Below are 16691 nucleotides of genomic sequence, written 5' to 3'. Positions count from 1 at the left end.
TCTCTTTAAACCCCCATTTTTCATCTGTTAAATGGGACTGATAGTACCTACCTTATTGAATTATTGTGAGATAATAATATAAATGAGATAATATATGTAAATTGCTAGCACAATGGAAATGAGCAAGTGCTCAAGAAATTGTAACAATCATTATTATGGTCTTACTGAATTAATTCTGAATAATTACCTTGTTTATAGACACTTTGCAAAGTTCCTTAGCCCTTTTAAATATGTAATTGTTTCTTCAGTGTCTCAGGTAACATAAAAATTGATGCTTTCTTTGATGTGTTCAAAAGTCAGAAACAAACAGTGATTGTTTAAGTGTCCTTCCACCCATCAAATAGGTGAAGACTGGCTTTTAATTTGGAGTGCTGACTTCTGATTGTGGAACTTATTTTCCATTATGATTCTATCTCTTTGCCTCAGAGGTCAATAACTTTATTCAAAATGAACTACTGCTAATTTGACCATTGAAAACAAAATTGGCTTGTCTGTTGCTATTATTTCCTATAAATATACTTTCCAGTGATAGTTCATTATTTAAGGCTCCTGTCATTCTTACCTGGCTTAATCTGGCAACTCGGTAAGTGGATGACTTCACTCAACAAAAGCCATCTTCCATACTGTGGCCAGAGTGGACTTTGTAGTTTGTAACTCCGATCGTGAAATTATTTTTACTTAAAATTTTCTTAAAGTTACTTCTAGATAACATGAAGTCAAACTTCTTTATTGCTTCCCAAGGCCCTTAATGTCCTAATTCCTTTTAAGCAATAACCTAATATCTCATCACTCCCCATCCTCTCACTTCTTATGCAAACACATTCAGGTAAACAACCAGTAGCTTCCCTCCTGCCTGCTTTTGCCTGTGCTGGTGCTGGGGCCTGTCTCCCTCTTTTTTTTCCTCTCACTTCTTTCATTGGTGAATTCCAAACCATCTTTTAGGACTCACGTTATTATTATTGTTGTTATTATTATTATTATTATTATTTGAGGCAGAGTCTCGCTCTGTCACTCAGGCTGGAATGCAGTGGTATGATCTCGGCTCACTGCAATGTTCACCTTTTGGATTCAAGCAATTCTTGTGCCTCAGCCTCCCGAGTTGCCGGGATCACAGGCGCAAGTCACCACGCCTGGCTAAGTGTTTTATTTTTAGTAGAGATGGGAGTTTCACCATGTTGGCCAGGCTGGTCTCGAACACCTGACCTAAAGTGATCTACCTGCCTCAGCCTCCCAAACTGCTGGGATTACAGGTGTGAGCCACTGTGCCTGGCCTTAAGACCCGCTTTAAATGTTACATCTTTGTGATCCTTTTCTGGTTTTTGCACCTTCTCGCCAGGCTAAGTTTCTCTTTTCTGCATCCCCATAATATCTTTCATTTATTTTATTTTAGCTCCAATCTCTGCTTTGTTTATTGAACAAACTTACATGGCTATCATATGTGTCAGAGACTGCTCCAAAAACTTTATAAACATTAAGTCATTTAATCTTTAGGACACCTTGATGAGCATGGTGGGTGTAGTATTTTCATCCTCATTTTACACAGGAATAAATGTGGCACAGATTAAATAACACAGCCAGTAAGGAAGAGACAGAGCCTGCATTCCAGTTCAGCAGTGAGTTGTCTAAACATGAACTCTCAGCCTCTACATCACGTTCCTAACCACCATGCTAATCATCTCCATGCCAGTGTTGTAAGGACCCTTTCTGATTCTCATTTTGCTTTGTCTTTCTTGTATCAAGTGCATACTTGGCATATCTAGATGTTGGATAAATATCATTAATTGAATAAATTAGTGAATTATTTCTATTCCTAAGTCATTCCTTTGGCTTTTCATGTTTTCCAGACTGTTGTCTCTTTTGACCATCAGCTGAAAATTTATTTGTAGATTGCTGAATATCAGAACAACTCTTTAGCCTCCATTCTCTGTGGTAGAAATTGGGATGTGTAGAGTTTGCTAAGCAAACTTCACATAGGACAGAGGCTGCATGATGAGGTTTAAGAACATGAGCTTTGCAGTCAGACTTGGATTCAATAGAGCCTTCACCACTAACGATTTGGATGGCTATATAGCCAATGTCTACCACAGATAAGGATACACACACACACACACACACACACGTATATATATATTGGGCTGGGCATGGTGGCTCACACCTGTAATCCCAGCACTTTGGGAGTCTAAGGTGCTTAAGGCCAGGAATTCCAGACCAGCTTGGAAAACACAGTGAAATCTCATCTCTACCAAAAAAAGAAAAAAAATTTAATTAGTCAGGCATGGTGGTGCATGCCTCTAGTCCCAGAAGCTCAGGGGGCTGAGGGTGAGGATCACTTGAGCCAGGAGTTGGAGTCCATAGTGAGCTACGATCACTCTAGCCTGCATGACACAGTGAGACCCTGTCGCAAAAAATAAAATTAAAAAATTAAACAGAAAGTTGGCTATACATTTAGAGTTATACAAGTTGTCTTAGAGCACCGGCTCTGGCAGGAACAGAAAGTGGTGGTGCCGATTTGAAGGTCAAGGCCAGCTGGAGCTGAGTAGTGGCTCAAATAAGTCATAACATTCTAGGATTTGGCCCTCTACTTTGAAGGCCCAGAAGCTTAGTCTTTTAACTTAATTATTCCCAAGAGAATGGCTCAAGAAGCTAAGTAAACTTCACATAGAACAGAGGTGGCATGATGAAGGTTAAGAACACGGGTTTGCAGTCACTCTTGGATTCTAATACAGCCTTCGCCACTAACCATTTGGATGACCTTGGGCACATTCCTTAGCTCTGAATATTAGTTTTCTCTTCTGAAAAACAAAGGTAATGTATCTTCCTCACAAAGCTGTTTGCTAGGATTTAATAAAATATTGTGTCTCTACCTTAGTGCTGCCTGGCATATAGTGTATTCTCAAAGGAGAACGGCATATTACAACAAGGAGAATTATCATATGGACCAATTACTCATGTCAGTGTGACCAAGATATGCTACCCTTATAGTCAAGCTCCATGAAAACCTGAATTCTGATCAGAAGCTACTTGATGGACATCATGGAAACCAGAGCAGGAAGAAGGAATTCAGCCTGGATGAACAGGGGGACCAGGAAGGATTTTGTTATTTATTCATTCACTCTTAAAAATAAACATTAGTTAGGCAACTACTATGTCCAAACAGTGTGCTAGGTGCTGGAGGTATACTAGTTTTAAAAGGATACAGTCCATGTCCTCAGTTTGTTCACAGTTGAATGAGAGATATAGACAAGTGAACAAGAAATTCAATATATAACAACAGTTTTTGATAAATGCTTGGAATAAAATAAATGGGATTCACTGATGGAGAGTAATTGAGTAAAAGTTGGAGTTGTCTCTTAGCGTGCTTTTGCAGAAGCAGATCCTGAGATGAGATTTTGTGTCAATGTGATTTATTAGAAATTGCTCCCAGAGAAGTGGTAGGGAAGTAAAAAATAGGTCCAGAAAGGGAAGGAGAATAAATAAGAACACAATATCAAGCAAAGATCCTCAGAGGATAACTGGCTCAATCCTGCAGGGAAGATGTAAGGGAAGTACATTTCAATTGCAGAGCTAAATCCATCATGAAGCCAGGAAGCTGGAGCATTTATACTCCTCATCCATCAGTCATTGGCTAAGGCTGCACTCTGGGGTGAAGCGGGATACAAATCCACAGCCACTTCAGGCTCTCCATGTACAGTCAAAGGCATTCTGGAAGCCTGAAGGTCATCCTCCAACAAAGAGACACAGATGCTGGCAGTTGGGAGTGAATATTCATGTTCAGGAAGATAAGAGGGCAACCCAAGGTGATATGAGCAGAGTATTGAAAGCATCTGCTATGGGGTGTGGAGGGGTGGTATCTGATGAGATGACATCAAAACCAAGACCTGAAAGATGAGCAGGATCCACTCTTGTGTAGAAAGGGGAAAAAGGTTTTCAAAAAAAATAAATAAAAAGGAACTGTTTATGGGAAGTCATTGCGATAGGAAAGAGCATGCGTTTAAAATATTGAAAGGATGTATCTGTTGGGAGCATGGTGAGTGAACAGAAGAACATTATGAGATAAGACTGGGGAAATGTGCAGGGTCCAGAAATTTGTAAGCTATCTAAAGGAGTTTGTATTGATTCAGATTGCAGTCAGTTGCTATTTGAAAATTTCAGGCATTGGAGTGACATTATCTGATTCAGGTTGTAGGAAAATCAGTCTAACCACCATGAGAAGTGTAAATTGGAGTGGAAGGAAAGAGGAGAAGCAGGGCTGTCATTCTGTAATTTATTTTATAGTCTGGGGAGAAGTGACAGTAGCATTAACTAGGGTGGGGGAATAATGAAGATGGGAAGAGGTTGATGGCACTAGCTTGTATTGTAGACGTAGAGCCAATAGGACTTAATAGATTAGGTGTATGAGGGAGAGAATGAAAGAAGTCGAACATAATATTTGGGTTTCTGGGTATAGTGACTGGGAGAATGGGGTGACCATTAGTGAGACTGGATGAAACAAAAATTAGTAAGACAAGTCAAATTGGGATAATGCTAAGGTTAATAAATAATCTTCATGCCAGCTTTCAATGCTGTGTTGAATCTAGGATTCTTGGTGATGTTCATGACACAGGAGTGTAATTGATTCAGTGGAAGGTGGTGGTTTTAATACAGGGAATTCCCTTTTAATGATTATTCTAATCTGACTCTTAACTTGTAGTAATGAAACCATTCTAATACTCTGTATGATGTGTAAGCAGCTCTGTAAGACATAATCTTAAAGAAATCTTTTCTCAAAAGTATCCCCTTTTCTCCCAGCAATGAGTCATATTTTAGTTATCTTTTTTACGCAATGATATTTGCTTCCCTATTTAAAGCCAAGCATTGATTTAAAGCCAGAGTCCCTTCAGTGTTTCTGTTGAAGGTTTTTTACACAACTATTTTCTATACTGTGTGATTTTATAATCAAGCCTTCTATGGAAATAGAATAGCCTCTGCAAAAATAAGAGCAGACAATATTAGACACAGTGAACTCCAAAACCGGCTGTTAAATTCTAGGATCATCATGGGGGTGAGAAGGGGCTCTGCCAATGGAAATCTCTTAATATAAATGTTTAGCTGAAAAGAAGAGCTGACAACTCAGTCAGAAAACGTCTCCTTGCCTAAAATGATTCCCTTTTTCAAAGCACTTGGGCCAAGAAGTAGAAGCAGTGTGTATCCTTGGCTGTAGTGACAACTTGACTGCTTATCTGTTTGATCTTAAATAAGTCACATCACCATTAGGAATATCAGTCTTGTCCTCTGTAAACGAAAAGAGTTTGAATTATAGTTGGAATGACAAAAATATTCCATCTCATGGGCCCACTTACCTACATCATCAGTGAATGTCTGAAGCACTGTGCTGAGAAGGATTCTGAGACTATCTCTGGATTCAGCAAAATAATGTACCCTAGTAGATAAGCTCTGTCTACTATGGACATCAGAACTGGTGCATGTTTGTGACTAGTCTTAAAGCCAGGTAATTGAAGGCATTAAGAAAAGTTCCAGCCAGATGTGTTTATGCTCATGTGGCCTAACATTTACACTTGGCCGCTGGAAGAGTCCGAAGTTCATCTCAAGCCCTACATCCAAGTGTTTTCCCTTTCTCGCAAACTACGTCATGGGCATGTCATTCAAAAATCCTAAACAACGCAAAAATGTTTGCCTTAAATTAACAGTACTGTGCAATACAGCAATCACGAATACTTATAAATAGCTATGTATAGTCCCCTGAAGAAGGCTTTGCCTCTTCATATTATCCCAAAACTAAAGATATAATTTTTATCTAATAGTTTTAGGATAAAGGCTTTTGCCCGTAATTCATTGGTACATTAAAAGCCCAGAATGTTTCAAATTGACCTTTTATGAAAGCACAGTAAGGCATAGCCGCTTAAAGCCAGAGACTCTTTCCTAAATAGAAAGACCATAAACGCTCATTTCTATTGATGATAAGGTCAAAACTCTCAGAACTAAATTCCTGACCATCTCACCTTCTCCGTTTAAATTACAGATGATCACCTGAAGCCTGTGTTTTAATGCATCTTCAGCTTTAAATTGGTCACTTATAAAGAGGTCTGATAAGAAACAATCACACAGTTCTGTTCCAAATATCCTGTTTGAGTGTTTAGACATTGCACAATGCACATAAGCGCACGTGCACACACACACACACACACACACACACACACACACAGTCTTGGGCGCTTTGCCAAACTTTCAATCAGCAGGATAGTGTTCCCTTTGATAGAAGGAGAAGCAGGAGTTTCTTTTGTTGGAAAGAACCTGCGCAGCTGACACCCAGGGTGACAGCCAAGACAAGTTGCAAAGAGCTGAGGCTAAAATATGGAAAAACTGAATGCCTTATTTGTTTACATGTCTCTCGTCCCCACCTGACCGTAAGGCACTTTAGAAAAGGTAATGCTTTTCTTCATTGCTGTATCCATCATGCTCAAAATAGGCCTGCTATGCAATAGAAGCTGAAAATGTGTTTTTTTCTGTAATAACAAGAGTTCCAGCATACAACCAGTAGCCAATGGCAGAAAGGGACTGGAGAAGCTGGTGAAAAACAAAGATTGGAGGTAGGATTAAATGGTGTAAAAACTTGAGATGGCCAACCACCATAATGAAAGAGCTGGAGCATGTTTGTGACTAGGCTTTAAACCAGGTAATTGAAGGCATAAACAAAAAAACTCTAACCAGATGTATTTATGTCCATGTGACCCAATGGAGCATGAGTATAATTAAAATAGACCCACTGTATTTGACCACATGAACTAGGCCAGTCTTCTCATTGCCTGAGTTGTTAACACAGATGACAGGCATTCACGGATGTAATGCTAATTGTTTTAATGAGGTAGGAGTGGGAAAGTAGTTCATACCATAAATTTTGGAGGCTGACAGTCTTGAAGTGGAAAAGTGGTGAATGCCATGGGTTTTGGAGTCTGACAGTCCTGGATTCAAATCACAGCTTCACTATGAACTATCAGTATGACGTGAAAAGTATTTAAACTCTCTGAGCTATAGCTTGACCATCTGTGAAATACGAAAAATAGTAAGTCCTTCACATCCCGGGTAAATGTTACCATCCACATCCAGCATCCCAGTGGTTGGAACATAGTGAACATTCAAAAAATGTTTTCTATTATTATTATTATTGACATCATTAATGTTTCCGTATTCTAGCTATGTTTCAATGTCTACTGGGTTTTTTAAAATCTGTGTCTAAGCTAAGCTAAATGAGACAGCTTTATGCAAATGTAGGAATGTTTCATTATTATCATGGGTACGATAGGCTAAAAGCATTCCAGTAGGGGTAGGGAAGCGATTTAAGTTTTAAAATAAAGAGAGACAGATAACATTGGCAAGAATCAGTCTCAGCATCACCAGTTTTTTGCCTTCTTCAAGTAATTCAAAACAGAGGTCAGGACATGGAACACTGACCTCTGTTTTCAAATGCACAAGTAATTGACAGAATGAGAAGTGTAGCCACATTAAGAATTAGAGCACACTATATCAATTATTGTCTTAAAGATATAAGAAACTGATTATTCATAACTTTAGGTTATAATCTGCCTCCCTCATAAAATTCCCATATTGCTGGATAATATGGGTAGAGCTTGGAAGTGGGTGTCCAATTAAAGAAAAGGTCGGGGTCACGTAGTATTCTGGTTTCCACGCGTACATACATGATAAAGTAAATTTGCATTTTCTTGAATCCTGCAGCATCTATTTGAGGAATCATTCACTTAGTCATTAAATATGTATTGAGCACCTACTGTTTACTCGGTAGTATCAGTGTTAAGAGTAAAGCTTGAGGTCAATGTTTTTTATGTCTCAAATCTACCTAAATTTATGTGATCATCAATAAATCACCTAATGGGATTTTGCCTACATATATTTGTATGTGAAGTGGGGCTAGAATTCCCATCCCTACTGTTTCATAGCTCTCAGAAGCTAAAATTAAGTGACAGATGAGAAAGTGTTTGGAAAGGCTAATTTTTTTTAAAGTTCTGCTGTTAACCATAGTTACATAATTTAAAAGAAGAGAAAATATTTGATTCTAAGGACAAAGTAAAGCAGCTAAGAAAGTTCAAATGATAAAGAGAGATTTGATGAGAGGCAAGAAAAAACAATCAGAACGGCTTGCTACTTTGCATAGCTGCCCCAAATCATGTTCAGCTCTTTCTTATGGCTATGTCTGGCAGTGTTTTAGACCAGTGGTTCCTAAACCTTGATGCACATCAGAGTCATGAACAGGTCTGGTTAAATGCAGAATGCTGAACTCATCTCCTGGTGTTTCTTTTTCTTTCTTTCTTTTTTTTTTTTTTTTGAGACTGAGTCTTGCTGTGTCACCCAGGCTAGAGTACAATGGCATGATCTCGGCTCACTGCAACCTCCGCCTCCTGGGTTCAAGCAATTCTTCTGTCTCAGCCTCCCGAGTAGCTGGGACTACAGTCGCATGCCACCATACCCAGCTAATTTTTGTATTTTTTAGTAGAGGACAGGGTTTCACCATATTTGTCAGGCTGGCCTCAAACTCCTGACCTCAGGTGATCCACTTGCCTCAGCCTCCCAAAGTGCCGGGATTACAGGTGTGAGCCACCACGCCCCGCAGCCTAGAGTTTCTGATACAGTTGGTCTGAGGTGGAGCCCAAAACATTGCATCTCTAACAAGTTGCAGGTTATGTTGATATCACTTGTCTGGGGGGTACACTTAAGGAGACCCTGGTCTTGCCAAGCTTTCACAGCAAATAGGGAAACAAAACATGAATGAATGAAAAAAATATCAGGCCCTGAGCTCCAGACATGTGTATAGAAGTGTCTGCTCTCAAGAGACGTCTCAAATCGAACATGCCAAAAGTGGAACTCTTGCTTTTTATTCACAAACTTGTGCCTTTTTTAGTCTTTCCCATCTCAGTTGATGACACACTGTCAATGAAAGTGCTCAAGCACCAAATTTAAGAGTTTATCTCAGCATCCACATGCAAGCTATTCATTCTTTAATTCAACAAATGTTTATTTATTTAGCACCTACTGTGTGTCAGGCACTGTTCTAGCGATTGTGGCATGGAAAAATGACCAAAGCAAAGTCCTAGTGCTCAAAAAATATAAATTCTGATAGGTAAAATGGAAAACAACAAGTACGCATATAGAGAGACCTTAGAAAGCACATTCAGCAACCAAAATTTGAGCATTTCACACCATTTCCACAGCCATCAGCCCAATCTCAGCCATCATCTCTTGCCTGAGCTACTAAGGTGGACATAAGTAGTCATCCTGTTTCTGCTGCTCCCAAAGCACAATCAATTATCCATGCAGCTTTCAGATAATCTTTAAAGCATTTGTTGGATTACCACATTCTCCTACCTAAAACCTCCCAGTGGCTTTCCTTCGCATTAAAATTAAATCTAGACTCCTTAATTAGCATGGTATCCAAAACCTCTCCAAATTCTCTTACTTATCTCTCTTTTTTTTCTTTTCTTGAGACTGTCTTACTCTGTCACCCAGGCTGAAGTGCAATGGCATAATCATAGCTCACTGCTAGCTTAAGCTCCTGGACTCCAGCAATCCTCCCACCTCAGCCTCCCCAGTAGCTGGAACTACAGGTGTGCACCATGCCTGCCTTTTTCTTTGTCTTTGTCCTTTTTTTTTTTTTTTTTTAAGCAGGGATGGGATCTCATTATGTTGCCCAGGCTGGACTCAAACTCCTGGCTCAAGCCATCATCCCGGAATGTGGGCCTCCCCAAATGCTGATATTACAGGCATGAGCCACTTTTCTCTTCACTGTTCAGAAAGCTCCTTTGGCTTCCTTTCTGCCCGTTTGATATGCTAAGTTCATTTTAACCCCAGGAAATTTGTACTTGCAGTGTCCTCCTCATATAGCACACTTTCTCAATATCTGATTCTTCTTGTCATCATTTAGGACTTGGACTAACGTCATTTCCACATAGAAGTAGTTTCTTACCCCACTTCTAGCACATCTCACTGCTACAACTCTGTATTTTATTATCCTAATTTTTTTTTTTACCTTGCTAGCATTTATGTTCCCTGATGTTATCTAGCCTGCTATGTGGTTCTTGTCACTAAAATGTAAGCTACACAAGGGCAGTGATTTATTCAGACTGGTTCACTGTTTTATCTTCAGTGCCTGGATAACTGCTTGACATATTATAGGCACTTGATCAAAATTAATTGAATTAATAAATGAATGAATAAAGCATCCGGGTTATTGTCAACATGTTTCTTCAAGTCAATTTACAGTTCTTCAACATTGGGGACCGCGTCAATGTCATCTTTATACCCCAGTGTTTAACTCAGTACTGTGCATACAAGAGATGTGCAACAAATGTCTGTTCAATGAGCACATACACAAAGTAGGTTTTGCCTGGTTGAGCCTCTATAACAACATCCTGAATTAGTTTTTTTTTTTTTCTATTTTAAAGGTAAAGATACTAAGGGTCAGAAAAGTTTAAGGGACTTACTGGAGAAGAGACAAATAAAAAGAAAAAGAAAACAAAGACTGATCACCCAGAGGCTGAGGCTGAGGGAGGGGAGAGTTTAAGGAGATTAAATGTCAGATGAAGCAGGTGTTGAGGAGGAACTGAACATTGACAAATGGATTTGGCCTGAAGATGGATTTTTGATAACTTTAAGGAGAGCAGCATTGGGAGGAGAGGGGAGATAAGAAAAAAACTGGTGATGAAAAAATACAAAGGATAGGTATAAGATAATATTTAAGAAAGAAGAAGCAACACGGCTTTTAAACTTAGCTGTTATTACTTGGAAGTGGGGTACAATTTAAGCATGTTTAATCAAAGGTCATATTAGACCTCATGGAGAGGGAGAGAGTCAAGGATGGGGGCATGAGCTTGGGAGGAAGGGTGCTCAGGTAGTGAGAAGGGATGGGACACAGGTAGGGCCTCGTCTCCCTCTATAGTTGGGCAAAATGGGCAGAGGGAGGTGCAAAGATTAAATGCAACAGCCAGGGTGGGGGTAGAGGAGCTCATTCAAGACTGACTTGGTCTCAACAGGTTAAAGTGGAGACGGTCAACTTTACCTGAAGTCAAATAGCCCTGGAAATTTCAAGAAAAGATGATTGAAAATAGTGGTTCATCAGTTGATGAGTCTGGGGACGGGTGGCAGTGATTATCTGGTGACTGCGATGATTACAGGGAAATATTAGAAGATAGCGACAATGGGACAATGAGAGACCAGGAACTGGTCCTTGGAAGGGATAAGGTGTGAAAGAGTAAAGGGTTTAAAGTTTTCTGAGAAAAACCAAAGTTTGGTTACAGGTTTTTCCAGTTTCTAAATGTGAACTCTTGGGGGCAACTCATTTTCCTCTTCTCAGCCTTAATTTTCTCTCCTATAAATGAAGACTGCTGTCATTTGTGAAGCTTAAAAGAGATAATGGATACTCAGCATTAAGCAGTGGAGGTAGGTCATGAATAAAGCTCAAAAAATGATAAATAGGGAAGAGTAAGGCAAAGTCCAAAGTAGGGCCTTCAAGTTTTAAAATGTAGTGCATTTTTATTTGTCAATTAAAAATAAAAATGAAATGCATAAGAATAACTTGGAGGAATGATTTTAAATGCATAACCGTGCCCTATTACTCCTATGAGATTATGAGTCTGTAGGTCTGCAGTGAAGACTGGGAATATGCATTCATCACAAGCAAATACTCCAGGTGATGCTCATATAAGATGCTCAGTACTTCAGGTGATGCTCCCTATGTCACACCAAGAAAAGCATTAAGAAATGCACTGGTGATTGAAGGCAATGCATAGTACTGGGCCAGCACTGTACAGTTGCAATGGTACTGGTGCAACAACCATGTTTGAAACTCTAGACCATGACTCTTAGCACAGATTGCTTTGTAAACACCTGGAAATCTATGTCTGAATGTATGCATGTATGCATATATATACATTTACAATGTCATGCATCAACATTTTCAATCTAGTTCCAAAATATTCTTATCATACCAAAGGGATAATCTATACTCATTAAGCAGTTGTTCTTCGTTTCTCACCTCTCCCTTACCCCTGGCAATCACAAATCTGAATTCTGTGTCTACACACTTACCTATTCTGGATATTTCATATAAATGGAATTGCACAACCTGTGACCTTTTGTGTCTTTTTTTCCCACTTAGTGTGATGTTTTTGAGGTCCATCCATGTTGTAGCATATCAGTAATCCATTTATTTGTTTACATCTGAATAACATCCCACATATCTAGCTGGTTTATTCATTTATCTGCAAATGGACATTTGGCTGTTTCCACTACTTGGCTATTATGAGTAGTGCTGCTATTAACATGCACATGTGGAATCTCATAAAACATCTCTGTGTGGCAGAAGCAGCCACAGAGATTATGATTTAGCTCCTCTCCAGTGGACTCAGGTGATTTTAATACATAGCCAGTATTAAGAATCTATTTTCAAGGTATCGAAGAAAGATTTGAATGGCTATGTAATTTTAACACTATCTAGCAGACAAATTCCTTTTCCAAGACTGATGGAACATTCCTCTATAGGGCTGAGTGCACAGGTGGTACTTAATAATGTAGACTAGATAGCAGTAGAAACAGCTGTAATTTCAGAAGAGGTTGGTGCTAACAAGGAGTTTGAATGAATTAGTTCTGTTCTGTGTCAAATATGGCCATAACACATGATGTCATCAATAACCTACTGAAATTTATTCTACTTTTCTTTCTCCAGAAGATTACTTTCTAGCAATGCCTAAAGATAGAAGTAGGGGGTACCACATTTTATACCTGTTGGCTAAATAACACAGCTTGGTGAGCCAAAAATGAGCCTCAGAGACCCCTCACAGTGATCTGAGAAGGAGTATAAGATTTGTCAAGGCTGCATATGCATTCATATGTCCAGGTAAAAAGAAAAGAAATTGCCGTAGAAATTATTTTAATGATAAAGCACATTCAGCGTCAGACCTATGCATAATCCTATCTATGAAACACTCATTGATGTCACAGAAAGGTATGAGTGTGTCTTTTGATGTGAGGCTTTGTACTTCTGTAAAATCTTACTTCTGAGAAGTTCAAAGTGCTTTCCATGGACTTTCTCAGCATCCCTTTCAACCCCTTTATGGGGTAGATAGCAAGTATTATTCTCATCTCATAGATGATAGGAAAGTTGAAATGCTGAGAGGTTAAGTGTGATGTGCTCAGTGCTTATCTTTTAGGATGGGACCCAAGGCTCTAGGCTTCCAGAGGGTCCTTGCTGTTGGTCCCCATTACCTCTCTGCCCTCTCATTACAAGGTTAGCATGTAATACTTACGACAAAAAAAAAAAAAAAAAAGAGGATTTGCCAAAGGGAAAGATGGATATTTCTAATTTAGTACCATCAACCTCCTGGACTGAGTTTTCTATCAGGGTCATGATGACATCATTATTGATTGACAGCATGGGGAAATTTTTCACCTTCTTTTTTTATTATTTTTAGTTGGACATCACACAGGGGTGTTAACATTGTCAGCGTTACATCAGGTCTTCGTGTGCTGCCCTGCTTAGGTGATGGTGTGGAATGGTTCACTTTCTCATCACATTTCATTTTATTTCATTGTCACGATAATGGGTATGTATCATAAATCTACCTCAAGCAGGTAGTCTACTTAAAACATACCTTGGCCGGGCGAGGGAAGGGGCTCACACCTGTAATCCCAGTACTTTGGGAGGCCGAGGCGGGCGGATCACGAGGTTAGGAGATCGAGACCATCCTGGCCAACGTGGTGAAACGCTGTCTCTACTAAAAATACAAAAGTTAGCAGGGTGTGGAGGTGCCCGCCTGTAATCCTGGCTACTCGGGAGGCTGAGGCAGAAGAATCGCTTGAACTCGGGAGGCGGAGATTGCAGTGAGCCGAGATTGCGCCACTGCACTCCAGCCTGGCAACAGAGCGAGACTCTGTCTCAAAAAAAAAAAAAAAAACAAAACCTCATTCATGTTACTTAAATGTTGCTTAAACATACCTCAGGTAGTTACTTAAAACATCAAAACATCTCAGTTATGTTTTTTTTCCCATTATATTTCTTTTATTATTATTATTATTATACTTTAAGTTTTAGGGTACATGTGCACAATGTGCAGGTTAGTTACATGTGTATACATGTGCCATGCTGGTGTGCTGCACCCATTAACTCGTCATTTAGCATTAGGTATACTCCTAATGCTATCCCTCCCCCCTCCCCACACCCCACCACAGTCCCTAGAGTGTGATGTTCCCCTTCCTGTGTCCATGTGTTCTCATTGTTCAATTCCCACCTATGAGTGAGAATATGCGGTGTTTGGTTTTTTGTTCTTGTGATAGTTTACTGAGAATGATGATTTCCAATTTCATCCATGTCCCTACAAAGGACTTGAACTTATCATTTTTTATGGCTGCGTAGTATTCCATGGTGTATATGTGCCACATTTTCTGTAGGCTACCTACTCAAGGTTGCTTTATGATTCAAAACATTTTAAGTTTCAAAAATGTTTTGAAACAAAATATTTTGAAACATTCTTAATATGAAATGAATACTTTTTTACCCCGGGCAAAATTTGTATTAATATTTTAGGTTGATGGAGCAACAAACACTCTAGTGATTAAACCTTGTTCTAGCACCTTAACATGATATGAGGGCCACAGTGTTCTCGGTACTGGCTGAACATCAGGATTGCTGTGTGCATTTTTTAATTTGTTTTATCCGTTAAAGTAAAAAGTAATGCATGCAAATACAAATGAAAACAATAGCATTTAGCTCACAGAGAAGGAATTAAGATGAAAATAAAGATCTCCTCTCCTGTATAATTTTCCTAAAATTTTCTGCCTTACTCTACAATATACCATAATCTAACAATATAGATAGATTTGTTGGATAGCTTTTATTTAATCTATTTCAACTATATAAATCTAACATTGTGTTTCTACTAGTTACATGGCACTCCATTATATGGCTGTATCATAATTCGTTTAAACGCATTCCCCACTGGTGGCCATTCAAATTGAGTCTATTTCTTCAATAATTTAAAAAAAGCTGTCATGAACAGTTCTGTATATGTGTACTTTTACATGTCAAGATAAATGACATATTTGTAGATAATTTCTGAGATACAGTGTAGATATATACATATTTGTATATGTATATTTAAATATATGCATATAATATAGAAACATATATGAGTATAATATATATTTATATTACATATATTTTACTATTTTAACATATGTTTGATATATATTGCTACTTTTTCTGAGAAGATTTAAAAAGAAAATACAGCCTTTCCCATCCTCGCTTTAAGTACCTACTGGGTCAGATCTCCTAGGGTAGTTGTTGACTATGTTTTTTTTAGAAAAGCAAACAATTAATTCTAAATCACAGCTCTGTTAAATCCTCCATCCCATAAAATCGCCAGCCAATAACATGAAAATCTGTTTTCTGTTTGTAATTTAAGTAAAAATATAGTTTTGAAAAGTCAGAAAGACCAGATATGTTTTTATGTAACTGTCACTCTTGATACCATAAAGAAGTCAGTATCAAATTTTGTATCCTGCGTATTCCTCCTGGAAAACCAGAGGAAAATTCAGCCAAATAGTAGGATTCCACTTCATGAGACAGGGATTTTTTAGTGACTCCCACTTATTTAATGGATTAAGCATCTGCTACAGCAGAATATTCACTGTCATTTGTGAAGACGAAAATTTCAGAGCTGAATACACAAATAATTGTGCTATGTAACTGTAAGGAAGAAGTTTCATAATGTTTTAAACTTTCCAAGTCTGGAGAATTTCTGCATTATTTTTATTATGGTTATCAGCAATTTTGTGCATATATATGTATATTTCCTTTTTTTTTTTTTTAACAGTCCTAAGATCTCTGCGAGAGTGTAGTTGTCTGGATACTTTTATGTCCACCTGTGGTTTTGCAGAGAACTTTTTCCTGGGGGAAAAAAAAAAAGAAAGAAATGAGATCCTCCTCCCTTTCTGAACAGTTTACCACTCCCTTTACACTTTCAGAAAATGTATTGCTTGGATAAGATCTCTTTTCAAAGCCTGAATGGATATCAAGAAATCACCATTCTGAACCCTTTCTTATTAAAAATACACAGAAATAAGCTTTGTCACAAGACAGTGCTCTCGTTCATTGGGAAGCTTTTATGCTTGGATGGAATACTTAAGCAAATGGCTATGAGCTTATTGAATGTTTAAAGGGGAAAATTTTTTCATAGATAAATATTATACAAGCCTTAAAATAATCCAAGTTGCTGGCACATATTCATCGCCAAAACATTGTTACCTTTTGGAGCACCATGCTGATTTGAAGAGTGAACTAATTTAAATGAAAATACTGGTGCATATTCTAAATGAACATCTTCAAATAATCTTACCATATTAATATGCCCCATGCTTTGAAACTCCTCCACTGCTGAGCAGAGAATCAGTAAAGGAGGAGGAAAGAGAAGAAGTGATTATTATGGGTACCTACTCTGTGCTGGACACTGTCAGGCACTTGATATACATTATTTCATTTATTCTTTCCACCAAGATCAACGAAAAAAAGGCCTGACATGGTTATTGCTTGCCAAAATTCATAGAGTTAGCAGGGTATGGGACAAGTATTTGAAACTTAATGTGATTCCAAGGTTAGAGGAAGAGAACCTTAATACATACATACCATCGCT

At 38.5% G+C, this 16691-nt stretch overlaps 1 protein-coding gene across 7 annotated transcripts in view, besides 1 other annotated feature; it reads left to right on the top strand.

The window, feature by feature from the left end:
• Positions 1-16691, top strand: part of KCNIP4 (potassium voltage-gated channel interacting protein 4) — a 1220167-nt gene that overhangs the window by 682685 nt on the left and 520791 nt on the right. The window lies entirely within an intron of this gene.
• Positions 12906-13075: an enhancer, noted in NCBI's record as "experimental_77709 CRE fragment used in MPRA reporter constructs". NCBI's record gives its function as "activates a minimal promoter by MPRAs in K562 erythroleukemia cells, with activity observed for the introgressed 4:21254721 variant allele {active_cell/tissue: K562}" and the evidence as "EXISTENCE:reporter gene assay evidence [ECO:0000049][PMID:34662402]".

This window comes from Homo sapiens, chromosome 4, assembly GCF_000001405.40.
Source record: "Homo sapiens chromosome 4, GRCh38.p14 Primary Assembly".
In the NCBI taxonomy this organism is placed as follows: domain Eukaryota; kingdom Metazoa; phylum Chordata; class Mammalia; order Primates; family Hominidae; genus Homo; species Homo sapiens.
The sequence above is the reverse complement of the archived record's forward strand: the minus strand, read 5'-3'. Positions and strand labels throughout refer to the sequence as shown.